Here is a 27472-nt window from a genome sequence, read left to right as displayed (position 1 = left end):
GTGGAAACATGAAGTTTTAAAATGTAGCTCTCAACTTCTCCTTGGAAGTTAAGAACCTGAACTGGACATGATGTTTAAGATATACAAACTCAAAGGCAGCAGTATCTTGGCTTTGAAAAAATATCACGAGCTTTAGATCCAGGCTACTGTGAATCAGAACTCTCACTAGCTGATTCATTCATTCCCTTCTGGTGCCTAAAATTGAACTGGACACATTCGGTGTCCTCAAAATGCTCACATTTCTTCTCTATGGTCTTAGACAATTTACTTAACCCAGTGACTGTCAACCTTACTTGAACACCACATAACATCCCATAAAAAGAAGTAAAACAAATGACCAGTGCTTAGACTCAATGCTACACCAAATAAATTAGCATTTCTGACTATGGGGCCTAAGTGACTATAGTTTTACAAAACGCCCAGGTGATTCTAATATAAAACCAGAGTTAAGAGCCACTAAAAAGCCTCTTATATCCTCAGTTTCTTCATTTCTCTAATGGGAAAAATAATACCTATAGTGCAAGATTACTGTAAAAAATTAAGGAAAATATCTGTAAACTGGTACAAGATACATGGTTATTTCAGAGACTAATGTAAACTGGTCCATTCATCCATTCTCTGGTGATAACTTAAAGATTAATTTTCAATAAGTATAAATTAGCACCTACAAATTCACTGCAAATGAAAGAGCAAAAATGACCCCAAAGAAGATAGAAATGGTTTTTAACTTCAAAGTGAAGGGAAGAGGAAAGATTCAGTAAGAGGACACAAGAGCAGGGGGAAAAGCAGAAGTTAAACTATCAGGTTAAAAACGGAGGTTAAAGCTGTCCCATCCAGCTCCAGGGGTGGGCCCAGAGAAACCTACAGACAAACGTCCACATCCTCCTTCATCCACCTTATGGGGCAGAACTTTGGGGACTTTGAGAACTCAAACTCCCAAGGACCTTCTACCCAGGTTGCCAATTTTAAAAAATCTGTTTGAAGAATAAGTTTTAGAGAAATGGGGAATTTAAAATGAGATAGAATGGGAATAAGATATTTGAAAGAATTTTAAAAAAAGGATAATTTTATATAAAGCAAGACAGTGAGCAAGGTAAAAAAAGGACAACCTTACCAAAAATAATAACTAAATGTATAAATAAAAGTCAAGTTACATTATGTTAGGTTGAGCTGGTAATAAGATAATGTTTATTTATAAAGGTTATTTACAAAGATAGCATTACATTAGAAAATGTATTCCAATCACAGGTCAAAGTTAAGAACAAAGAGAATGAAGATAAACATAAAAGTCAGATCTGGGAACCTAAACAAATATTTGTAAAGACTATTTCGGTACAGAAATTTTTCTGTTGCCCAGGGCATAGTAGAGACAAATTGCAAATAGGAAAAAATGACAACCTCCAAACATCTGACATGATCGACTGAACCGTGAGTATTGAAAACGATGGCTTTATTATTATTGTGGTACAGCATAACAGCTGCATGTGAATTCTTGGAATTTTTACTCATAGAAAAAATAACTATTGCAAGGTTATTTTATTTTTAGAAAGATTTCCACAATGATTATTTTCTGTGGAAATTTAAGGATTTTTAATCAAATGAAAGCAGCCTGAATGTAGATGCGGCAGAGATGATTCCAGAGTTAGGAACCCTGGTGCAGCTTCACCTCCACCTCAACCCCACAGTGTGACCCAGGCAGCTCACCTCACCTTTCTGGTTTTAGTCTGTTCGTCTATAAAGATAGTAATTCTACTGCTACATAAGAAGACTAATTGTTTCCCAGTTTTAAAAAAAAAAAGGCCTTTGGTTTCAGATATCATTCCTAAGGAAATACCAAACCACACATAAATCTTTCATTCTAGGCTTTATTTCCTTTAAACAACATTAGGCCCATAAATAGCTATACTTTCTGAAAAACAAAAATGCCTCCCCTCCATTAGAAAAAAAAAAACTTAAGTAAAGAAAATGTTTATCAAGAAAGTTTCCATTTAGCCCTCTTCAACTTCCAAAATTTACAACTGGATGGTATAAGGAGGGCCATTTGTTTAATAACTGTTGTTTTTTAATCCTATTTATTTTCCGTTTAAAAATTTAGAAATCTATGAAATATTAAAAATTCTTTTTATAACTACTCTGCCAAAGTATACATTGTCTTTCTCCATAAGGAAATTGTAGAAGCATTTTTGGTTGAATTTTAACCAGAAATCACAGCAAGTGTCTTAAACATATATTTTCCAGGTATTACATGTAACATACTTAGATGAAAAGATAAATATTATCAGAAAACGTATCTTTCCATTGTGTTTGCATTGTGGCTATACCCTGTACCTCACTACTCTTCCCTATAAATCACATTCTCTGTTTCACTTAACTCGACTGCAATCACTTTGTATTCTGAAGTAAAATGTTTAAAATTTGAATATTTCAGAGACTAGGATGAAATTAGACTAGAATGGAGATTACGATATAGGTGGTGTGCAGATCTAAATAATTATGTTTTATTGTAATCTCTTAGGCTATATAAGATTCAAAATTAAAAGATACCCACATGAACTCTAGCTGAGTGTCCTCGATTTTTTATTTACACATTTGATTCTCAGGCCAAGTTACTATCCTTGAATGTCAAAAAGATGAACCTATACTCAAGAAGGCATCAAAAGTCAAAATATGCCAATAATTTGGAAAAAAGAAGGCAAATGATTTATCTTCATTTTCAGAAATTTCTCCACGTTAACATTATTTTCAATGCAATACTCTAGGATCAGCCATGGTACATTTTAATTACCTTAGAAATCTCACACAGTAAGCATAAATAGTAAAATATCAAACTCTAAAACCATTTAGTTCAGATGCAGGAACAAGCGGAGATAAATCCAAATGTGCAAACCCCAAATATTTGTAAACAAGCAAACAAACCAAAAAACCCAAGCAGAAAAGGGGAGAAAAGAAAGTATTATAATGCCTTCCCCAAATCCAGAATAGTCAAGTTAATTAAACTGGAGTTTGACAAACTGCTAGAGAACAATCCACGTGCACTTTTCTGGACTTCACTTTCCAGGCTTACACATTATTTCTCATACCAAGCATGCAGGTGAATATACTCTATCTTCAGCTGCACAGAGATGAATGTTCAGTATACGCATTGGCTTATTAATGAGAACATTGGAGAATAGGTACAAAGCCACCTACCATTGTCACTGTCTCCTTCAGATGGAACACTGTAGCTAGAGCTGTCCCATGTCTGTGCCTGTGTAAGTGTGTTGAAGGAGATAGGAGGAAGAATGAGGGCTGGGTCTGCAGGGGAGCCAGAGAGCCAGTCCGCGTACAGTTGCACAAGGACCAGGAAAAACCAAAGGGGCAGCAGCATTTCACAAATGGCATAGGGTTTGCATGGAAATGAAGAGTGGATTTCATTTATATGGGGTTTAATTTCAAATGCACAATATAGGAGAAGAATGAAAGATGGTGCATGGAATAAAAAGAATGATAAAAACTGAGTGTTAGTACCCATCAATCATACACTTTGCATGCAGTTCATATTTGTTAATCTTAACAGTTCTGCAAGCCCACAGACTTAGAGTACTAATGAATCAGGTCAGAGGAAAGAAAGAGTACCCATAGGTTAGGTAGATAAAAAGCAAAAGACCTGCCAGATACGTTCCTCAAAGACTTTCTAAAAAACTAACAAAATATGATTCACACACAAAAAAATTGGTGACATAGAATAAAACTTAATATGCGTAAATATATCTATTATTTAGAAATAAAACTATTATAGAATCATCATTTACCATTAGTGATTTTTTTTCTCCAAAGCAATGTCAAATTTCTTTTTAAAGACACCTGTAGGTCTATTGGCATGCTTTATAGATAGCTGAATCTAGCTAATTCTTTTCTCAATCCTGGACATACCTCTAAATACTGTTTTCAATATTGCTCAGTTAAAAAACAAAAAACAAAAAATGTTGGAGACTAGTACAGTCTATTTAACAACAAATCCAATTAATCAACAGAGATCAATCAATTTCAAGAACTTCTGAGTTGGTCACTTATGAAATGATAACAACTCTTATTTTTGCACTAAATATCCATATGGCAATTTCATATTTAGGAAATATCTATATTATTTTTTATTCAATCATAAGGCAGGGCCGGTAAAATAAATGGATATAGTTCTAGATATAAATATTTGGGTGTGTGCAGTTGTCTTTGTTCGGGAGGAAAACACAGAAAGAAATGAAAGAAACTGCCAGCCTACTTTAAGAATCTAAGTTCTTATTTGAACTTGCTAATTTAAGCAGTCTGTTTTTATTTATAACACAGAAATCACATAAATCCACATACTTTCAAAATAAAAATTAATTGGCTTTAAGCATTCTAAAGCTACTCGATCAAAAGTGGTTTCTTTTAAAACTATATGCTTTCCAGTTAAGATTACTGTATATATTACTTTCCAGAAAATGTGAAAAATACACTTAAGCATATATACTATTTTAAAATTATTAAATAAAATGAAATAAATTTCCATACATAATGCAAGTTTTTAAAGTTCCCACATGTCACTTGATGATCCTGAAGGTAAACAGCATTATTTACAGCAACCAAACTCCATAGAGCTTTCAACAACAAGAACAATTTCCACATTGGTTAGTCAGCATTATAGAAAGGCTGGAAGCTTGGAAAGGAAATTAACTTTGTTTTCTGCTATTCAAAATAAAAGCTCCATTTATTTTTCACTGCTACAAAGAATGTGAAATGGTTTAACAGCCCCAGTACAATGTAAACCCTAACTGTAATAAGTTGAGTTTGGACTCTATAAAAAGAATAAAAAAGTCACCAAAATAATTCTACAATTGCAAGTTATACATTCAAAAGAATATTATTCTCTGAAGATCCATTCAACTTTTGATTTGCTCAATTATGCCATGCTTTTAAACTGTGTAAAACTGACTGTGAGGATTAGGAGACAGTCTGCAGCTCAACATGAGGTCCTCAGCGTGTAAAATAAGTCTCCTGGTGGGTTGTCACTGAAGGCACAGATGAGGTGTGCCTGGACTCACCTCCATTCCTCCCAGGACACACCTGAGACCGTGGAAAGGAAAACCCAGCCAAGGGCCTCAGCCCGGAACTGATCACATTTGCTTAGCTCCAAACATGAGAAGACCAGCCATTTGAGTTTTATTTCATGTAAAATTTGGCTCTCCATAAAACACTCACTAACCCTTGTCACACTCAAGCACTTTCTCAAATGGCTTTTCTTCTATGGCCCATTCAAACTGCCAGGAAACCATTACACCTGGCCACTTGTTACCCATCAATCAACCTGCCCCAAGAATGAAAAACATTTCCTTTATTAAAGAATCATCTTTGTTTTTCCTATGGGTGCCTTTTTGCAAAATATACACATGTATAACCTCTACTGTTGTCAAAATGCTTTACTGGAGAACTCAAGAACATCTGAGTTCTCTACCAGTTCTTATTTAAAAGCGTCTGAATTCTTTATTAGCACTTGCTTAAAAGCATCAGTAGTAAGTGTAGACTAAATACCAAAGAGTCAAAAATATTAAAACAAAGAAAGACCTAAAAGAAGGAAGATTAGCAACAGAACTTCAAATAAATGGAGAAATCAGAAGAATCAAATTTTTCTATACAGAGTACTTTCTTTTCAAAAGCAACCATTATTTTGTACATTGCTATAATTTACTTTTGTGAATAAACTAATAACAAATTAAAATTGGTAATATAAGCAGAATGCTTTCTCAAAAGACTTTTTAAAAAAGTAACTCCTGACCACTCATGCAAGCCTTGAAATGACCACTCTGTTATGTGAGTAAACACACAGAACCTACCAGACTCAGAAATCAAATGAGGATGTCTCAGAAAGGAGTCACTTTTCCAGAGGCAGGCTGCCCCTTAACTCAGCCGAGCAGCAGGAACCACTGGGGCCAAAGCTATTTTATCTTCCTTAGGTAAAAAAAAATCAATAGAATATTTCTTCCCCGCTTACATGCTCCCACCACCTGTTTTTTCTTTGCTCGGATTCAAACGAAGATAGAATATCCACTACTGATAACACGGACTTAGCTGATTCACTGAAAACAAAGCTACAAACTCTGGCCTCCCCTAGCTGTAGATGCCAGGATTTCGGCTCAGCAGAACTGACAAGGATGTGCACATTGATAATGCATACACTTAAAAGGCTCAAGAGAAAGCAATGAGTTATTTAGTGTAAGAATGGGCTGAGGTTTTCATTTACCTGATCGAGGCTTCAGGCCAAATGGAGCTGTGCTGTTTGTGGTAGGAGAGACTGCAGGGGAGTTCTCTCTAATCTGTGGTGTTGGAAGGAAAGGAAATTAGGAAAAAAATAAAAGGAAAACAGAAGAACTATGTATGGTTTTCTATGTTCAAGGATTGTAACAAAACTACTCCCTTTTTGCATTCGCTGCTGTGTGATGAAGTCCTGGCCAAAAAAAATCACTTTGTAAAGATGTTAAATGGCATAACCAACAGAATGTTTGTTTTAGAGTGACCCACTCAATTTGTTTTGTCCATTTTAAGAACATTTTACAATTACGTGACACTGGCACTCCTCTTGCACAGCTGTGTGCATGGGTGCATGCACACACACACACTATATCCATTTATATCCAAAAGAGGGCACATCTGATGAGGAAACAGATAATACTGAACTCAGTAATACTGAATCACACACTGAATCATTTATGGAGAACAAGACATTCTAAATGTTTCCTATTTAAGTGATCTTCATTCTGTTTTCTTGTAAAGATGTTCCTACATTCGGTTTTTAAAAATATATCTCATAAAAATTAATCTTTAATTACGAATAGGACCAGATAAAGCTATGATAGCTAATGAGAGTTAGACGGATTCCCCCAAAGACTCAATTAATTAATTAATCACAAGTCTTAGATTATATATTTCTGTAAAAGATATTCCAATCCAGCCATCAAGAAACACCTCACCTTCCATTAATCTTCAAGAAACTTACCTCATTTGGAGAATACTGGCTCCCGTTACTCTGTAATGTTAGATCACTTTGCACCTTAAAAAAGAAGAACAAAGCATGGTATGTTCCATTAGACTGTGAAACTGTTGAGGCAAGAAATTCATCTTTCTTACTGCCATCATGTCCCCGGTCCATAGGTGCACAATGAATATCTGTTGAATTAATTAGTTAGTGTGTTCAGTAACTAAGTAGACCATACTCATACGTTCTGAAAACATGCAGCTGTATTCATAGAAAAATACGTTTAAAGTATTATACAAACTAAGATAAAGAACTTCCCAGAGCAAGGAGTTCACTCCAAAATATCTGTGGATGTCAGCTTACCTTGCTAGGTGACCAAGCTGCCTGCTGGTTCCCATCCTCATTTTAATTATGATTTTTAGAAATGGTTCAAGGTAGTACTTCCTAAATATGCAGAATCACATTGGGAGCATTCAATAAATACACGTCTGGACCCCAAATTAACTGGGCAAATCTCATGTTGTCAGTTCAACATCAGATTACTTTGGCAACTACTGGTTAAGAGAAAAAATTATGAATTTTTTCTGTCATAAAATGTGCAGGATTTATAACTGGTCATGGAGAAAAGTCAAGATGACATCCCGATTTCCAGCAGGAATGACTGGGTAGATGGTAGCATCACTGAATACCACGGAGAACACAGGAGCAGTTTAAGAAGAAGTTGATAGTATCAGTTTAGCTATGTAGAGAAAGAGAAATTTGTGGGGCATGGAGATAAAATCTGAATACTGGGGTACAGAGGGGAACCTGAGGCATGAGCTACAGGTTTCGAAGTTATTATTATTTATGGGGTGCCTGAGTCCATGAGAGTGGCCAGATGGTCCACAGAGACAGTGAAGAAATTGAGGGACAGTGGCTGAGAGCAAAATCTTGTAAAACCAGCATGAAAGGGACACGCAGAAACAAGGAGCCCACAAGGGACACACTCTAGTTTCTTACCCAGATCTGCCTTCTTTATAAGGTAGTCAAGAACCCCCTGATCCTCCCTAATAAAAAATTGGGCGTTAGCTCATATAAAAACACCTTCATATATGCCACCAAATTATTGTACATTTAAGATGCCTGTTCCTATTCATTGTTGAGGAGTGCTATTTAAAAATCTTCCCACCTTTGACACAAATCCAAGAGGAAACCATATTTTTAGAATAAAATGTCACAAATATCCCTATTCAATCAAATGGCTTTGTTAGAGCTGCTAACAAGTAACTTCAGGTTTGATTCTTTCTATAAGCAATTCTTTCCTCTAGTTTGTCCTATCGTCTCGCAGACCCTTCCCCGTTCGATATTTATGTATGAGCCATGCAATTTGCAATTCTTCCTGCATGGATGCCAGTGCCATCCACACTTGATGTGGACAGTCACCTAAAGTATGTTTAAAGTCAGATCACGTGATGTGCCACCAATTACAAACCGCTTCATAATCCTGGCCTCCCCTTTCCGTGTGGCTCACACAGAGCTGATCCCCCACAGCCACGGTGTCTTGCTCAACATAGCCTCCTGGCTACAGGGCCAAACCCAAAAATGCCCAAAGTCTAAGTTTACTTTCCTCTCCTTAAACTCTACCCCTTCCCCAGTGTCCCTGAGCACCTAAAACAAGCTCAGGACTGCAGACCATCTTATTTCTTCTGCAAATTTTTCAACATCTAAATCTTACCCCCACAATTAAAAAAAAATTCACTAAAGTGAGGGCAACTTCATAGCCTTCATCTTCCAGTCCTTTACACAAAAACAAGGCTGAATCTAGCACAGGCACTCAACAAATACTGGTGAATTAATATAGGGCTATGCTGAAAGATGTTACTTTCTGCTTGAATGAGACAGAAGAAAGAATATAAAAATAACCAAATCATAAGTAAGGATCATATTTTAGCTCTCCATAATCCTTATCACTGGCCCTGTGAATTCACTACTCTCTTTTCTTTTCCTTGTGACTTCCTTTTTCCATCAGGGCCAGCTATTCCCCTCCTTTTTTAAAATCATAGAGATGTATCTGCCAAGGACAGATAATTGCCCTACAGAAGGAAAACAAGGAGTGAGAATTCCTTATACCAAATACTCCTCCTTCAGCCAAAAAAGAAAAAAAAATCAACCTTATGTTAAAATAACACAAAACATTGTAAGTTGGGGATAGAATAAAAGTATCTTTTTTTTTTCTTGAGGTTTTCTGTCTTCTAGGGACTCCCGAAATCATGGGCACAGGTATATATGCGTTTTTAAAACTCTATGAGAGTGAAAGCTCAAAGACATTTTAAGTAGCATGCTAAAATAAAGGTGCTAAGGAAGGTTGGACCTGGTACATTCTGTGAGTACAGAGGAGTAATACAATCTGCCCAATTAGAGCAGAAAATTCACTCTGGAGGCAAGGGTGCAGTAGCTGGCAGGGAGGCCCTCACAGCACTGAGCACAGGACCTGTGCAGAGCTGCAGCTCAACACCTACAGGCTTAATGGCCTTGGCTGATGGAACAAACAGACTCATCATTAGAGGGAAAGCTGGGCTGGGCCAACTGACTGAATGATTGATATATGACTTGGAAGTCAAGTTTCCTACTTTAGGAGGATATTAGGCTTTTCCACATAATATAATGGTAGCAAGCATGGTTAAACTTCAGGAAAAACCCATGAAGCTTTATGAGCATGTGGAAAAGTGTCAGATGATTTTCAATTTAGACAAACACAAGGAAATGAATTTAAAGGGACATAATATACACTTTACCTAAATGATGGAGTGTTTGCAGCTATCAGTTAAGACCCAGAGATCTGTACATCAAATAAGCAGTACACTGAAATTTGCTTACCAAAGCCTAATCCTCATCATCTAATTTCCTATCTCTCTCCCTCTCTTCTTCCCTCCCTTCCAGGAATCCTCACGAACTACTCACTGTGTAGTAGTTAGGTACTGAGTCGGGTCCCACTTCAAGTGAGAATGCTAAGTGTTTGTGCTATGCAATGAGAAAGACAAACAACAGGAGAAATAAAGAGGAGATCAATAAGTACGAATCCATTTTGAAAATCTAGAACTGACTGCAAAGATAGAGTTCACCTTTGCTGATGGGAAAATGGGAGGAAGCTCCAAATAAAACAGTCTTGGGCTGATATTAAGGAAATGTGACATTTAAACATTCCTTCCCAAACCACCAAAATGTTGAATAACAATAGCAATTTCTAATAACCATTGGAATTGGGTAGTTAGTAAATCAGCGCATGTATTGCTATTAGATTAAAAGATGGGATCAGGCTGGGTGCAGTGGCTCATGCCTGAAATCCCAGCACTTTGGGAGGCTGAGGTGAGCAGGTCACCTGAGCTCAGAAGTTTGAGACCAGCTTGGCCAACGTGGCAAAACCCTGTCTCTACTAAAAGTACAAAAATTAGCCAGGCATGGTAGCGGGCACCTGTAATCCCAGCTACTCAGGAAGCTGAGGCAGGAGAATTGCTTGAACCCACGAGGTGGAGGTTGCAGTGAGCCGAGATTGTGCACTTCAACCTGGGCGACAAGAGCGAGACTCTGCCTCAAAAAAAAAAAAAAAAAAGATGGGATGAAAACTAGACCTAGACAAAACTATGAACTGGGCTCAGTCTATATTTAGTATATACCCATCCCTTATTCCTTCCATACCCATTCACATTACTGGAAGCATTGTTCATGCACACATAAGTATAATGGCCGCTCTTCTTCTGCCAAGATCTGCTCTGAAGAAAAGGTTTGATGCAATCAGGCATCACTAAGGTTTGTAAGCATGACAAGACTTAGTGCTGCCACTAGTCTACAGCATGAAGAGGCAATATACCACAGTGGGAAAGCAGGGCCACGCCTTTTACATGTAACTGAACTGGCCAGTCACTTGACCTTGAGCTTCAAATCCTGCATCATCACTCAGGATGCACTTTTCACTTATACCTTTACCTAGAATGTAAACTCGTAAGTGTAGGACCTCTGTGTCTTTAATGCTACTTTCTCAGTGTCCAGAGTGGTGCTTGACACATGGGAGGCAATCAACGAATATTTATTGAAGAAATGAAATAACGATAACTTATGTAATATACAAAGCACATGATCTGGCATGTAACAATACTTCCTTTTTAAAAAAAATTCAGGAATATATACATCTTAGAAGACAAAATTATTGGAATGACCATCCAATTGTGTATTAAAAATGGAGGGGATATATCTTTATTCCAGAAGCTTTGTGTCTTTCTTGTGCTCCTGAAATCATGCAAACAGGTGGCCATCTATTTTACTAGAGTCAAAAGTGGGTCTGCAGCTGGATGCTAAGATGGTCTTGAACTATCTTGTCACAGACTGCTTGTTAGTTGCAACGAAAAAATAAAACAGCAATTACACGGTGGAGAAATGGACTTATATCTTGATTGGGTGATAAATTAACATCACCAAAGAGGGAAAGATGGACATAGTGTGTGGCCCCAAATGTGATGCCCTGAGATGGTCACAACATCACCTGTGCAGTATTCGAAATCAGAATGCAGAAGTTCAAACTGATAAGGAAACATTAGACAGACACAAAATGAGGAACATTCTATTAAAAAGGAGGAGGTTTGTGTTCCTCAAAATTTCAAGGTCATAAAAATCAAAGAAAGGTCATGGAAATGTTCCAGATAAAAGAAGGTTATAGATACCTGACAATCAAATGCAGTATCTGCAACTAAACTGGATCTTACACTGAAAGGAAAAAAATGCTCTGATGAGCATCATTAGATTAACTCACAAATTTGGAGGATGGGTGATAGATTAGATGAAAATATGTTATCACCATGAATTTATGAAGATGATAACTGAAATTGATTGTGTAAGATAAAAATCCATATTCTTAGAAAACACACACTAAAATGATTAGGGATAAAGGACTATGATGTGTGAAACTTACTTTCAGCAAAAGAATTGTGTGTGTTTCAGAAAAAGAACTGTGTGTATGGAGAGAGAGAGAGAAAGAGAACAAATATAACAAATGTGATAAAATGTTACTAGTAAATCTAATTTTACAAGATTATCATTTTTGCAAGCTTTTGTAGAACACTGCAAATTTTTACAACTTTTATAAGTTTAAAATTATTTTCATGTTTAAAATTATTATTACAGGTGTGAGCCACCTGTAATCTCAGCACTTTGAGAAGTTAAGGAGGAAGTATCGCTTGAAGCCAGCAGTTTGAGACTAACCTGGGCAACAAAGCGAGATCTCATCTCTCAAAAAATAAAATTAAATTAAAAAAATTATTTCCAAATAAGAAGCTAAAAAAGAGGTTAAGTCTGCACAGAACCAAAATCAATCTCAAAGGAAGAGCTTGATGAAATTGGTCCAGGGGAGACTGCAAATAAAAGACTTCCAATGTCCCACTATTGGGTAATTCAATGAGGCCTCCACCCAGGGAAGAGGTGGTACAGTAATTCTGTTTAAAGGCCACACCAATAACAATAATAGAGAAGTAAGCTAATAGCTAACATTTAGGTACCCTATATTATGTGACATTTTCTGAATCAGAATTCCTAATTCGATCTTTACAATAGGTAGTATTATGATCCCAATTACAGTAATGAATGTTTAGAGAGGTTAAGTTCCCCACAGTTAGCCAGTCTTTGAGATGGGACTGATACCTAATATAATTCCAAGTCGCTGCGCTTAACAATGAAACCACACTCTCTAGCAACATGGCTTTCCCTTTTACATTAATACTTCCCTTTTCCTTATTTCTTTAACATAGAGACAAAGTTAAGAGCGTGAAACCGCTTTACTATAGTACATGTGCAAACACCTCAGTGGGGCATAAGGTGTTTGTACACAATCTTGGTGCCTAAATTAGCCATCCTAAATCCATTCAGGAAATGGGTTGTAGCCTATGTTTCATTCCCAAATCACCAGCTCGAACTTCTCTCTCTAATCCTGGGGTAACATTCTGGCTTTAGGACATTCTAAGGTCATCTCTAGTGTTATGTCAAAACTGCTTTCTTTACAGCCATCCAAATTTCACTCCATGTAACTCTACTGAACCCATCCTTACCCTGTCTTCAAATATCACCACCAGTTTCTCTTCATGATATTCTCTCAATCCTCCTCGACATTCCCAAATAATTTGTTCTTGTCTTTCAGGTGTTTTCTAGCTAATTTCCATCTGGCCAATTCCCAGACCTTTTCTTGGCTCTAAAATCTACATTGAATGGTCCTCCTCCAGGTTCTGACACACAGGCAGATTCCCTATGTATTTTAGTTGCCATCGCTTGACTCAGCAAGATGATCTGAGGTAAAAAAATCTACAGAATCTAATAGAAATAGCCAACTCTCATCTTCAACAGAGGGTGAGGTATAGCAGAAAAGCAGAACTAAAGAGGCAAACGTATAAACAAGTTGAAAAATGTGTCCTGAACAAATCTGAATATTGGCCTCATTAATAAAGATGTTTCACTCCCTGACAAATCTTTACAGAATGTGGTGGCCAGTATTCCATGGCAAAATATTGCACAGAGTTCTGGTGAATCTACCAGCAGCCTTACCTCACACACCGGAGATGTCTCCAGCTGTATTTGACCACTGTGAGAACAAGGAAAGAAAAAAAAAGATACAAAGTGAAATTTAAAGCATAGAAATGTCAATGTATTATGAAAAGAGAAAACATAATTTGTTATAAAAGGCAAGCATACTTCAGTGCAGAATCTTGTAATTCTAAGGCTTCTGCTGATCCCATAGGATATAGGTTTAAAACACTTCTCTCTGTAATATCTGTGCTTAATCTAAAGAGTAGGAAAAAAAGATATTAGTAAACGTATTAAACTTTTATTTTTAATAAATTCTATTGGTCTTATTCAGTTTAAATTTTTAATTTACTAAAAAGTTATGTTTATCTTTAGGATTAAGTGAGGAAAAGTTTATGACAGAAATTTCAAAGTGCATGGTATTTTCCCACTGCATGCCAAAATATAATATTCCATCTGCTATTGGTAATACAATCCAACTTGTTTGTAATATAATAGTAATTTCTAATAAAATCAAAATTTTCATAGGTAGTATAGCATATACTAAATTTTATTTTAGAACTTTATGAATTTACAGAAGCAAGTCAAGTTGCTGAGAGTATTACATTATAGTATATGTACCAATGGCATTTGGTTTTAATAGGGAGATATACATTATATCTCTCACTTAAAAAAATCATAAGCAATTTGATATGCATTTTTACTTCTGAAATAGTCTCAAACAGTTTCTAAATTTCTGCTATTTTAAGAGATGAAGATTTTTTGTTCTTAAAGACCTATAAAGCCAGGAATTTCTGTAAGTTATATAAAATTTACAAAGTCATCTTAAACAGGGATGCATTTATATTATAGAGGCCTATGAAAATGCTGTCAAACTAACAATCAGAAGGCCTTAAGAGAAGAAATCAAGATAAAGACAGAACAGCAATAGCCAACTAAATTTTCTGATGCATAAAAGGTAAACTTGAAAAATTTAATCCCACAATCAATGGCTTAACTAAAAAAGAAAAAAATTCCTGGATCTATGAAATGTGAGATAAAAGAAAAAACAAAATGTGTATGTAAACTTTTTTATTACTAATATTCAGCCCCAAAGTAGTTAGAAATAAATGACATCTTCAAGTGTCCTCTCTATATCCAAAACAAAACCAGGGCTTTTCATGACTATTAAACTGGCTCACAGAACTATTATAAAATTAGATGTCATATTATAATAGTTATTTCAGGATAAATAACAATGATCTAAAGCAGCCAAAGTAGTGGATTATTTTAGAAAGAAAATGAAAGAATCCATATAAAATTTTACAACATAGTATTTTAAAATAGTGCTCCATAAAGATGCAAATCAAGTGTCACTTGGAAGGTTAGTTGGGAATGTTTTCTTCCACTATCTTAATATATTTCCTTCCATTTTAATATATTTCCTTCCATTTTAATATATTTCCTTCTTAAAATCCATCTTAATATATTTCCTTCCAGTTTTTCTAAATTTCCTGCACAATTGGTACCTAATTCTATCTATATAATTGGGACCAAACATTGTGCGTTTTTACATACTTTAAAAAAGTTATATACTTTTTTAAAAGTATAAAAGCATTCTGTGATATCACTAGAAACTTTAAAAAACATTATATTGGCCACATCACATTCTGTCTTATCAAAGAGTATAATATACTTAAAGTATCCCCAAATTGTTAGATAATTTCTTTTTCCAAATATTTGCTATTAAAAATACCTACCCCTCATTCTCTACCCCAAATTCCCCAAATTGTTCACGTCTTCTTGTCTCTTAGGATAAGTTCTTAGATTTCACTCCGAAGTTTTATATGTTTCTAGACTTGGTTACATACTAAGTTACTTCTAGAATGGTTTTGCCAATTTACTTCTCCACCGGCAGTTTATGTATTATTTCAAATCCTCATAACCCTAAAAGGTAGGTACTTGTCACCCCCTCTTATAGATGAAGAAATGGGATGCAGAGAAGTCATACAACTTACCCAAGTTAACTGATGGTGCAGCTATGTTTAAAAAGTTTCTAGCTAATTCAAAGTCTGTTCTTTCTACAAGCCACACTACTTCCTGATTCGTTATAATGAATACATGTACACGGGTGCACATGCCTACATGTACTAACATACATGTATGAACAACCATACACATGCATGGATACACGTAAACACACATACAGGCTCTCCTGTCCTGTTTCCTGCCCTTTCACTAACTGCCCCGGCTTGGGATGTAGAATTCAACTCTTTGAACATACCTTGATTAGGTGCCTATGCCACGAGCCAAACATAAGGGAGAATTAACAACATGAATAATCATGTTTAAACACCATCATTGCCTCCCTCTAAATATAAATTAAAATCTCAGCTCCTTAACAACATCCAAAGCCATCGCCTGCATCATTCTACACTGTCTCTGGTGATTCGCAGTCCTGGCTGCACATCAGAAGCACTGGCTGACTCCAGTCCCCAAAGGAAGTGCCTGGTATCTGTTCTGAAAAAGTTCTACAAGTGATACTGAAGCACACTAGGATGGAGAGCCTCTGTTCTGCCTGAGATTTTCCCAACCTGGCTCCATTCATTCTGACCTTCATGCCTTTACCTAAGCCTTTCATTCAATCCAGAATTTCTCTTTTTCTTGAAATTGGCAGTCATTAAAGGTCCAGGCCATTATCCTATCCTTCAGGAAGACCAGTCCACCCATCTCCCCTTTTCCTGGGGTTGGGCACTTGCTCGAGTCTATCCTTTTTACCTCCACTTGAAGCACTTGAATCAATTACAGTTATTTATTTATTTATTTGTTTTATTATTATTTTTTTGAGACACAGTTTCACTCTGTCACCCAGGCTGGAGTGTGGTGGCACGATCTCGGCTCGCTGCAACCTCTGTCTCCTGGGCTCAAGCGATTCTCCTGCCTCAGCCTCCTGAGTAGCTGGGATTACAGGCGCATGGCACTATGCCCAGCTAATTTTTGTATTATTAGTACAGACAGGGTTTCACCATGTTGGCCAGGCTGGTCTCGAACTCCTGGCCTCAAGTGATCTGCCTGCCTTGGCCTTCCAAAGTGCTGGGATCACAGGTGTGAGCCACCGCGCCTGGCCCAGTTACACTTATAACTTCTCAAGGCAATCTCTATCTATTCTAAATTCTCAGAAAGCAAGAGCTGTGTCTTGTCCATCTTTACATCCCCCAAGGTGCACACTGCAGATCTTCCCATACTCCAAGCACTCAATTAATGTCTGCAGAATTGAAATGTTTTTCAAATCAATTGCAAAAGACTTCCAGCTGTACTAAACTGATCCGCCACTATTCTTTCAGGGCCAGACATCATAGGTGGTATATTCTCATCAGCATTCTGGGATACACTAACTACGCTTTTCATAAATTTGCAGAACCCAGCTAGGATTGCTGCGTGTGATTCCCGTGTTCATCATATTATAAGACCACATCAGTTTACCAAGTCCTCTAGTTCTCTAGAGATCATGTAGTTATTACCCGATACATGATACCTGCTATTGTTTAGCTGAAAAATATTTTGTCCATGGGAATTCCATTACCATTAGTTAAGAAATCGAAAAATATTATCCACATATCCACTGAATGTAGTGCCTATTATCGATCAAGGCAAATTCAGATTTTAAAATTATCCTGTATCCCAAATCTTTAGAAATATATTCTTCAGTTAACATATATTTGGCACTACCCCATATAAATACAGTACTACTTGATATACCAATTCTTTCCTTTTTGGAAAACATTTTCTTTATATTTTTTATAAATCAGGGGTTTAAACTTTAAGCAATATAAAACATGCACTTTTACCATATTTTTGTTTTCTAAGAATTTTACCAAAAACTCCCATATGAACTTCATGAGGGGTGAATGAACTCAATAAAGGGTGGTGAAAGGGGAAATTGATCTCACTCCCTCCAGAAGTTTGACTCTTTTACTTTTGCATCTTGGGAAAACAGGCAATAAACATGACTTTTCTTTGTTAGTAGCTGGACTGGGCCAAAATCGTCTGTGTAGGTATTTTAGGAATTTAGACAATGTACTCCATACATTAGTATGCATTATTTACACATGAAACCTGGACCAAGGAGACATACACACCCATTGGGATCTTGCAGCAAATCTACTGCTTCTCTCAGCTGCTCGATCATTGCTATATCCATGTCCTGATCTTTGGATGAACTTATTCTGTAACGTGAAACCAAGCATAAGAATGAAAACGATCAATACAACATGAATATCATCTAATTTCTTAAAAAGCAAACTTACAAAAATCCATCTAACATATGAAAATGATTTCGACAGATTCAGTGTTATGGTGAAAATGTGTTTGTACCTTGTGGGGTGGGATGGCAGAGCACGGTGGGAAGAGCCCGAGTAGGGGAAGCCCAGCTCTGCTGTAAAGCAGCTCACATAAGATTTTCATGCCTGTGCACCCCTAACTGCCCCTGTGCACAGTCAGGCAATGGCCTAGATGAGAGGCTTTCACCGTTGTGCTTTACTGAGTTCTAGGGGGCTGCATGGAGGGGATCACCTGGCTGAGTCTGTACTACTTCTGGGCCTTCCAACTCCCGTTCAACCAGTTTTATTACTTTCATGCATATAGGGTTTCAGTGTGGGACAGTGGTTCTCAGTCCAAACTCTAGATGCAGCAAAATCATCTGTGGAGCTTAAAAAACATGCCAGGCCCTATATGTCCAAGTGGGTCTGACTAGGAGTTCAGCATTTTATAAAGCTCTACAGATAATCCTTTACAGCCAGGGTTGAAAGCACTAGGTATGAGATTGAGAATGGAGTTTCCAAACCGTTATATAGTTTAAAAACAAGTGCCTCTTTCCCTATGATTCTCTGATTGTTTAATCAAGCTAGGCCTCCGTGGCTCTCAGCAGCATATCCAGTGAGTAGCTGGTAATACAGACCGTGACCAGAGAGGAACTTTCCAACGTTTTTAAAGGGCAAGAGAGATTTGATCACAGCAAGCCCTTCCCACCATAGAATGTAAGCCAATGACTTTCTGTAAGGAGAAAAGTTTTAACAATGGGATAAATCCTCACTAAGAAGAAAAACCCTGCAAGGTATGATGGAGAGTCAACACCTGCCTCCCAGATTATAGAAATAAAAATCCTGGGAACAAAAACTATACTCTATGTCACACAGTCCAAACTCAATTCCCCTGGACATGATTCATTGTCTGATGGGATCACACACCCCCTCCCCTGTAAATCTTGCTAAATAAATATTTATACACAATAGAGTAGAAGGATTATCTGTCTGGTACAAGATTCCTTGGGTTCAAATGCTGGCCCTCTGTGACCTTGCGGCAAGATAATCAATCTCTCTGTGCCTCAGTTTCGTCATCTGTGAAATGCGGGACAAGAACAGAACTTATCTGTTAGGAGTGTTGTAAAGATGAAATGAGTTATGGCCTGTCAAGTATTTAGGACAATGCCTGGCACATGATGTTGAATAAATGGTAGCTCTGGCAGTTAGAAGTCTTGGGACCAGAAGTCTACGGTGTTCTCAGATCTTGAAGGGGATGACTTGGGGTAAAGAAGGAGATCAGCGCTACAGATCACTTCAGGCCCAGCTGTTGGCTTCTTCAGGCAATTGTATGGATGGTAGAACCTCCAATCTAGAAATTCTAGCTAATTCTCTGAAATCACATTACTACCCGCAACCTCAAAACAAATAAGACTCAAGGCCAAGTAAGAGGTTTGTACTGCCCAATACCACGACAAAAAGCATCAGACAGAGAAAAACTGGCAACTTCTTATCAATATTGTCTGTAAGAATATCAGCTTGCCCACAGAAAAGCAGGTCAAAATTCTATCACAACAGAACTGCCAGACTGCTTGCAAAGTGGATTTGAGTGATGATGGCTTGTAACCAAGGCCTCGGCACTCACATGCCCTCAGTTTGCCAGTGCACATCCTCTTCTATCCGTAACAGCTCTTCACAGTCTTCTGCCCTTGCCTGTGGACAAAACACACAGGGTTCCTGAAAACCATTGGCTACTCAGTAGTCAGGAGCCAAAACCTGCCCAGCCCATGTTTATAACAGCGTTATTCACAATAGCCAAAAGCTGGAAACAAGCCAAACAGCCATCTATGGAGGGACAGATAAACAAATCTGGTATGTACATGCACTAGAATATTACTCAGCCTTAGAAAGGGGGAAATTCTCATGCATGCCATACACACAGATAAACCTGGAGGACATTATGCTACGTGCAATAAGCCAGTCACAAAAATACAAATACTGTACTGATTACACTTATATGAGGTGTCTACAGTAATCAAATTCATCCAGACAGAAAGCAGAATGCTTGCTGCCAGGGGCTGCCGGGAAGGAACGAGGGAGTTGTTATTTAAAGGGTACACAGGGTCAGTTTTGCAAGTGAGAAGAGTTCTGGAGATAGGCTGCACAACGTAAATGTAGTTAAAACACTCTGAACTACATGTACATTTAAAAAATGGCTAAGGTGTACATTTTGTAAGTATTTTCCCATAATTAAACATTTTTAAATTTAAAAAAATGTGGCCCAAGACCACAGCATCTGTTAACTTATCATCAGAAATTTAAAGCTTTACTGGATTTCCTATTGCCCTTTTAGCACCTTCTTGTATTGAGAGATCCCTCTCCTGTGCTTGTGGGTCACCTGTGAAGATGCATCCTAGTGTTTGTGAGAGCAGGGATGTGTGTTTAAGTGTGAGTGTGCACGCATATGTGTGTAGTGGGGAAAAGAGAAAGTGTAACATTCTTAACAACAGAAAAGTGCTTCTGATTGCATCTAATAGTTTTCACGTGTACAACATCCAGAATCACTCAAATGTTCTCCCTGCACTGTCACCCCACTTTTTCCCAAAGCGGCAATGTAGTGACACTGGCTATTTGGAAAGTCATGTACCACCATGAGCCTTCCACAGGCCTCCTTGCACGTTCATCTCTGACACAGAGAAACGCTGCTTTAACCCAGCTCATGGCTAGAATGAAAGCCAGCCTGAATAGGGCCACATTTCCCTAGCTAGGAGAGAACACCAGCCAAAAGGACCATTTTTGGTGTCAAGGTTCTGGCATATCATTAGCTAACTGGGGACCAGCCAGTCCTCCAGATGTGTTGTTAGGACAAGACTTTTCCCAAGGACATGGCTAGCTGCCCAATGCTGGACTCTGGCTGGGAACACACTTGGACTTTTTCTGTAGTGATTATACTTTTCATGTACAATACAGTCAACGTATAAAAGACTGTGCCACTCTCCACACTCCAAATGACAGAAAAATTCATGGGTAAAAATATACTACCAGAAATGACCAAGACAACGTGTTCTTACTTCGTTTTGTTGGGTTTCAATGATAGAAGCAAAGGGTATTTCTTTTTATTTTTTTGTTTCACAACTAAAAGTAGCCAATAGTATAAAATGTCTCTTTTTTTCATTAGGCAAAACAGGCGTACTGGGTTGCTTTTGCTAAGCTAAATGGTTTTACAGTTGATCCTCATTATCTGTGGATTCTGCATTTGTGAATTTGCCTATTCACCAACATGTATTTTTAGTCCCAAAACCAGTATTCGTGGTGCTCTGGAGGTCATCTGCAGACATCTACAGAGTGGTAAAAAATTTGAGTCCCAGGATGTGTATGTTCCCAGATGAGGTGGAACAAGGTGACACTCTGCTTTCTTCTTTCAGCTCTCTTATTGTAAATAAGTGTCCTTTTTCACAGTCTAGTTAGTGCCATGTTTTCACACTGTTGTGTTTTTTGTTGGTGATTTCACTTTAAAATGGCCCCAGACATAGTACTGAAGTGCTGCCTTGTGTTCAGAAGCCCAAGGAAGTTGTGATATGCCTTACAGAGGACAATACGTGTGTTAGACAAGCTTCCTTCGGGCATGAGTTACAGTGCTGTTGGTTGTAATGTTCATCAATCAATATATGTTAAATAAGGTATGGTTGTAATGTTCATCAAAACAATATATATTAAATAAGGTATCTTTAAACAGAAATACACACACACCAAGGTTGTGTGCTGATTGGTTGACAAAAACGTTGTGAGCAGAGGGTGCAGGAACCCAGCCCTCTATTTCCCCAGTGAGTTAGGGCTCAGTATTGGATAATTCGATATGCACAGTGATGTCACACAACATAACTGCTGTGAATAATGAAAATTGACTGTGGTTGCAAAGGTCCAAGATGCTTATTCAGTAAAGAAAACAGGATTATGTAAAGCATAGAACTCTGTTTTTCTGAGAAAGGGTCTCACTCTTTCACCCAGGCTGGAGTGCAGTGGTGCAGTCATGGCTCACTGAAGACTCACTCTCCCAAGCTCAAGTGATCTTCCCTCCTCAGTGTCCTGAGTAGCTGAGACTCAAGGAGCACACCACCACACCCAGCTAGCTTTTGTTTTTTTGTAGAGATGGAATCTTAGTATGTTGCCCAGGCTGATCTTGAACTCCTGGGCTCAAGTGATCCTCCTGCCTCAGCCTCCCAAAGTGGGGGATTACAGGTGTGATTCACTCCGCCAGGCCAAGCACAGGTTGAAAGACTTAAAGTTGATGGATATCAAGCCTAATACGGGCCTGATTTTCAAGCACAATTTTTCCTTAACTTGTTGTAGATGTTCATTTTATCATTAACATTTTTCTTTTGATTTTCCAAGAGAAGTATCTTCCAGAAAGCCTTTGCCAAGTTGACTTCCACACGCCTATCTGCTCCTCTAGTTTCCATCTACAGGACCCATTCTGTAGGGCAGCCATTTCCAGGAAGTCCTTGAAATCTCTGAATCCAGGGAAATTTGCTTTCCTGAAACAATACGCTTTATTCTTACTAACTGCTTTGTTTCCTCTAGAACTTAAATATTGATATCTTCTTAACACATTCTTCAGGGTTTCCATCTTTACCTTAGATTCTTAACTTAAGATGAATGCTCGATATACTCCAATTTTCACATTTTCATGGAAGAATCGTCCCACAGAGCTGATAGATAGGGTCTAATCTGGGGAAGCCTTGTAGAACCAGTGGCCTGAGAGGAATGTCATTAGATTTGCACTTTAGAAAAATGTTTGGTGGCAGAATATAAAGAGTGTGTGTGTGTGTGTGTGTGTGTGTGTGTGTGTGTGTACACACATGCATGCATGCACGCGGGTGCAGCATTGGGTAAGAAGTGGAGTGGGCGGGGTGGTGCCTGAAGTAATCAAAGTGAGAAACTATGAGGCTCAAATGAAGCAATGTCAATGGAGACAGGGGACAGAAACAAGGCAATGGGTGTGACCTATTTTAAAACAAGGATGTATGGATTAATGACATTAAATATAGCAAGTAAAGAGTTAAGACTGTGTTTTATCCTTCTACACAACTTCTGTAATCTATAAACATATGTCACGTTCATTATTTTTATCTGGAGGCCATAAACATGTCCTGAGCACACGAAGGTCTCCTACAGTGTAAAATTCAGCTGTTTTCCTCTCCATTTCCTTGAAGGTGATGCCCAGAGATGTTAATTTAGGCTGGGTCCAGCCATCAGGACACAATGCTCAGAAAATAAAGATGAGTACTTAGGGATCCCATTCTTGGCTTCAACATAATAACTCAGAAGTTACCTCGAAGCCACAGTGAATCTGAATTTTACAAAAACAATAATCTTTATGATTCTTGGGCACCACAACCTGAACCAAAAGGGCTGGCAGAAACATACCAAGCACCTAATCGGGTTGTGAAGTAGAACCTTCAGTATCTGCTTCAGTAAAGGGCTAATTTTTCTTTCCTCCCTTTGTTGCTGCCAAGATGAAGGTTTTCCTGACAACTCGGCAACTTCACCTGTCCTTTCAATGCCTCGGGGCACCTACAAAAGTTCAGGAATAAGTGTCCTCAGAGAGATCTTTCCAAAAAGGAAAGACATTCATTTATCAATTTTAAAAGTCTCCACTTTTGTCTTCACACTATAAATATACTCCCAAGAAAAGGATTTACCTAGAACATGTTGAAAAGAATGTGAAACTATTTCAGCTTTTACTGCGTGGCAATGGTCACACTAATGAGTTTGCTAATTTGTACGATGCACTGAGTAGCGGAAAGAAAATCAGATCCATAAACAGACAAATGGAGAGGCACACAGGGCAGGGACCAGCTCCTCACATCAGCAAATAGACACGCTGAGCGCTGAGATGTTTGGAACGCTTCAGGGAGGGTGCAGCAAGCTGGACATTGAAGGGGATGGATTGGCAACCTTCAACTTAAATTGTACGGTGCCAAACAGAAGGAAATAAGTAAAAAAACGTAGTTGATCCTGAAAATCTTGCCTTATAGTTCATAAATTCCGAATGGAGACCATCTGCTCTATCAGTAAACTGGTCTCTTTCTTCTCCTGAGTTGGTGCTGTCACCCAAAAGGGAAGGCTCCGGTTGAAATTCCTGATGAAATTCCCCTATTAGGAAAATATAGAGAGATGGAAAGCATGATTTCATGAACAGAAGAGCAAAACACAGCTGATCTTCAAATATGATCTAATCACTTCAAGTCTTCTGTGTTCCCTATGAAGAAGGTATATGAAAAACCCAAGTTTTCTCTTCCCTGCAGGGAGGAAAAGATAAAAATAAAATAACCCCAGAAAGCCCCAAACTGAGCTTAAAAAGTCAAGGCCTCTCTGGGCTCAGTTCCCTATGAGAAAAATTAGATTTTCTCTTACTTTTTTAAGGAATGGAGAAAAGAAAGTATAAAAGAGGCTTTTTTGCCCTCAGTAATATGTTACTATGTATTTCATATTTAAAATCCAACAAATATTGAGCAGCTACTAAATGGCAGGTATTATGCTAAACATTTTAGGGATTAAAAAATCAGCCAAATCTGACTCCTGTCCTTAAACAGCAAATAATCTCAAGGAAGAATGTGGGAGGGGAACTAGGCAAGAGCCCCAAATCATAACAGCAAAAGAAGTGTCTACAAGAAGGGCCACACAGAGGTGACAGCATGCCCAGATGTGGCACTTCCACCTAGAATGTGTTCCAGGGGAGGTGGGGGAGCAAAAGGAACACCCTGCAGAACTCTTCCAACTGTTCTGAAGATGAAAAAGAACCATACTGGGCCACCCTTTAAACACTCTGAGCCAATGCAATACCCACATCTAGACGAGAGGGGGAACACCCACTAGTAACAAATTACATAATTCTTTTATTTGAAAAATTTGCCTAAAATACTACCTCCTACAGTGTATAATATTACTAACTTTATATGAATTAATAAAGTGGCAGTTATATTTGTATATAAAGCATACAGCTATGTTTTTAGACAACATATGGTTCCCATGATAATCTCAGGTAAACAGAAATGCTAAACTTAAAAACCGAAGTGTAAGAAGTGAAAGCCAACACTAAGGTTTGAGTGAACTTAAACAGCTCTCCTATCATGAATAAGAGCAAATTCCAACTATTTATGAGAAGATCTGTATATTAATCCAGTTCTGCACTATTTATACACTGTGAAACAGTCTCTGCCACAAATGAGTAAAACTAAATGCTTGTATTTTCCTTAAAAGTCATGGGGAAACAGGGGCAATCAAAAAATCGCCTTAATGTTACCCAATGAGGGCTTCCAACCAAGATATGAAACGTATTACAAGGATCTTGAAGGCACACAAGACAGTGTTTAGTGGTCATTTGATGATTATTAAAGAGCCACAGAATTTTCAAGCTACACTGGACCTTTGGTATTACCTAATCTAATCATCTCATGTACAGGTGAGGGAATCAAGGTCACCTGACTGGGCCAAAGTCAAGTAGCTTCTTGAACACACACCTCAACTACATTTCCCACCCTCATGTGCAGTGCGATGTGGCCATGGGATGAAGTCTAGCTTATCAGTGATGGGCACTCCTTCCAGACCCAGTCCATAAAAACCTCCCACGAGCAAACCTCCACGCTCTTCTTCTGGCTTAAAACAGATGGACATGAAAGTTTTGGAAGGCCTGTGTTAAAGATGATGGAGTCATGGTATGAAAGGAGCTTGGGTCCTTAAATCAATACTCAGAGGGGAGTTGTCTGCCAATCACTAACTCCATTTGAACTTAATTTGGATTGTGTTGAGCCACAGAGATTTGGGAATCTATGTTACGGCAGCTAGAGTTTTCCTAACTAATATATCTATCATATCAATATTTTCTTTCCAAGAATGGATTTAAAGAATTAGCCGGGCATGGTGGCAGGTGCCTGTAATCCCAGCTACTCGGGAGGCTGAGGCAGGAGAACCCCTTGAACCCAGGAGGCGGAGGTTGCGGTGAGCCAAGATCACGCCACTGCACTCCATCCAGCCTGGGAGACAGAGCGAGACTCCATGTCAAAAAAAAAAAAAAAAAAAGAATTTTATCTAAGTCTTCAGAATGAGATTAGTTCTACTATGTACCGTAGGAAGTAGTACTACACACACATCAGCTATGTGACCAATGGCAAGTTACTTAAACTCTCTGAGTCTTGGTTTTCTCACCTATAAAATGGAGATGATTAGAGTATCCATCTTTGACTTTTAAATTTTAAATCAGCTCAACTTCCCAGAAGAACACAGTACCTGGTACATAGGACATACTCTAGAAAGATTATCACTGCCCTATCTGTGCACAGGTTATTTTAAACATAACATTTGAAACTGAAAAACAAGCACTTTCTCCACATTTTTATTCTCAGACCTTTAACGGGGCTAAGGCGATGGCACGAGTCCTCCTTGATGATCTGTTCTTCTTCCATGATGTTTGACATTGGCACATTGAGGCTAACAGTGTCTTCGTCAGAAGGCTAAAAAGATACAGTGCACTGTTTAACTCAAGAGAAGTGTTATCAATGTAGATAAGGAGAATGCTATGTAATAAAACAACATCCTGTGATTCTCACAAATATCATATTGAATATAAGTTGCCAGATACAAAGGTCAATTCCACTTATGTAAGTTCAAAAAATGCAAAACTAATCCATGGTATTTAAAATTAGGAAGAGGTTATTCTTGGGGTCGGGGTGGGGCTTTCTGGGGTGCTGGTAAAGTTCTGTTTCTTGAACTGGAAGCTGGTTATACGGGTGTGTTCACATTGTGAAAATTCATGGAGCTAACACTTATGGGCTTCTCTGTGTTTTCTTCTCTCTGTTTTAAGCTGAAATCTTGTCAGGTACTGATACACAGTTTGGATGTATGTCCCCTCCAAATCTCATGTTGAAATGTAATCCCCAATGCTGGAGGTGGGGCCTGGTGGAAAGTGTTTGGGTTTTGGGGGTGGATACCTCAAGAAGGGTCTATGCAGTTCTTGCTATGCGTTCATGTGAGATCTGGTTGTTTGAAAGTACATGGCATCAGCCAGGCGTGGTGGCTCACACCTGTAATCCCAGCACTTTGGGAGGCTGAGGCAGGTGGATCACAAGATCAAGAGATCGAGACCATCCTGGCCAACATGGTGAAACCCCATCTCTACTAAAAATACAAAAATTAGCTGGGCGTGGTGGCACACACCTATAGTCCTAGCTATAAGGGAGGCTGAGGCAGGAGAATCACTTGAACCCGGGAGGCAGAGGTTGCAGTGAGCCAAGATCGCGCCACTGCACTCCAGCCTGGCAAGAGAACAAGACTCCGTCTTAAAAAAACAAAAAAAAGTGCATGGCACCTCCTCCGTTGCTCTCCCCCAACCTCGTTGCTTTCTTGCTCTGGCTGTCACCATGTGACAGGAGGCACTCCCTTCACCTTCAACCCTGAGGCCCTTGCCAGTAGCAGTTGCTGGTCACATGCTTTGTGTACAGCCTGCAGAACTGTAAGCCAACTAAACCTCTTTTCTTTATAAATTATCGACCCTCGGGCATTTCTTTATAGCAACACAAGAATGAACTAATACGGGTGCCTGTTTTATTTCTCTGTTTTAGGCTGAGGAAGCTGCATCACATATATAAAAATGCTAAACAACTGTAGT

At 38.3% G+C, this 27472-nt stretch overlaps 1 protein-coding gene across 5 annotated transcripts in view; it reads right to left on the bottom strand.

Annotated features, from left to right (window-relative positions):
- Nucleotides 1–27472, bottom strand: part of LRCH1 (leucine rich repeats and calponin homology domain containing 1) — a 199872-nt gene that overhangs the window by 34188 nt on the left and 138212 nt on the right. For 2 of the 5 annotated variants that reach the window (XM_017020483.2, NM_001164211.2), the window contains exons 8-16: nt 26213–26318; nt 23837–23961; nt 19451–19518; nt 17647–17733; nt 13697–13786; nt 13550–13586; nt 7010–7063; nt 6257–6329; nt 3190–3294 (exon numbers count right to left, since the gene is read on the bottom strand). In XM_017020483.2, the coding sequence (XP_016875972.1) occupies nt 3190–3294; nt 6257–6329; nt 7010–7063; nt 13550–13586; nt 13697–13786; nt 17647–17733; nt 19451–19518; nt 23837–23961; nt 26213–26318 (745 nt within the window). Of the gene's footprint in view, nt 1–3189; nt 3295–6256; nt 6330–7009; nt 7064–13549; nt 13587–13696; nt 13787–17646; nt 17734–19450; nt 19519–23836; nt 23962–26212; nt 26319–27472 lie in introns of those variants that run through there. The other 3 variants (NM_001164213.2, NM_015116.3, XM_047430214.1) reach the window with 2 other exon arrangements.

This window comes from Homo sapiens, chromosome 13 (assembly GCF_000001405.40).
Source record: "Homo sapiens chromosome 13, GRCh38.p14 Primary Assembly".
In the NCBI taxonomy this organism is placed as follows: domain Eukaryota; kingdom Metazoa; phylum Chordata; class Mammalia; order Primates; family Hominidae; genus Homo; species Homo sapiens.
Note: the sequence above shows the minus strand (reverse complement) of the source record. Positions and strands in the feature narration are given on the sequence as shown.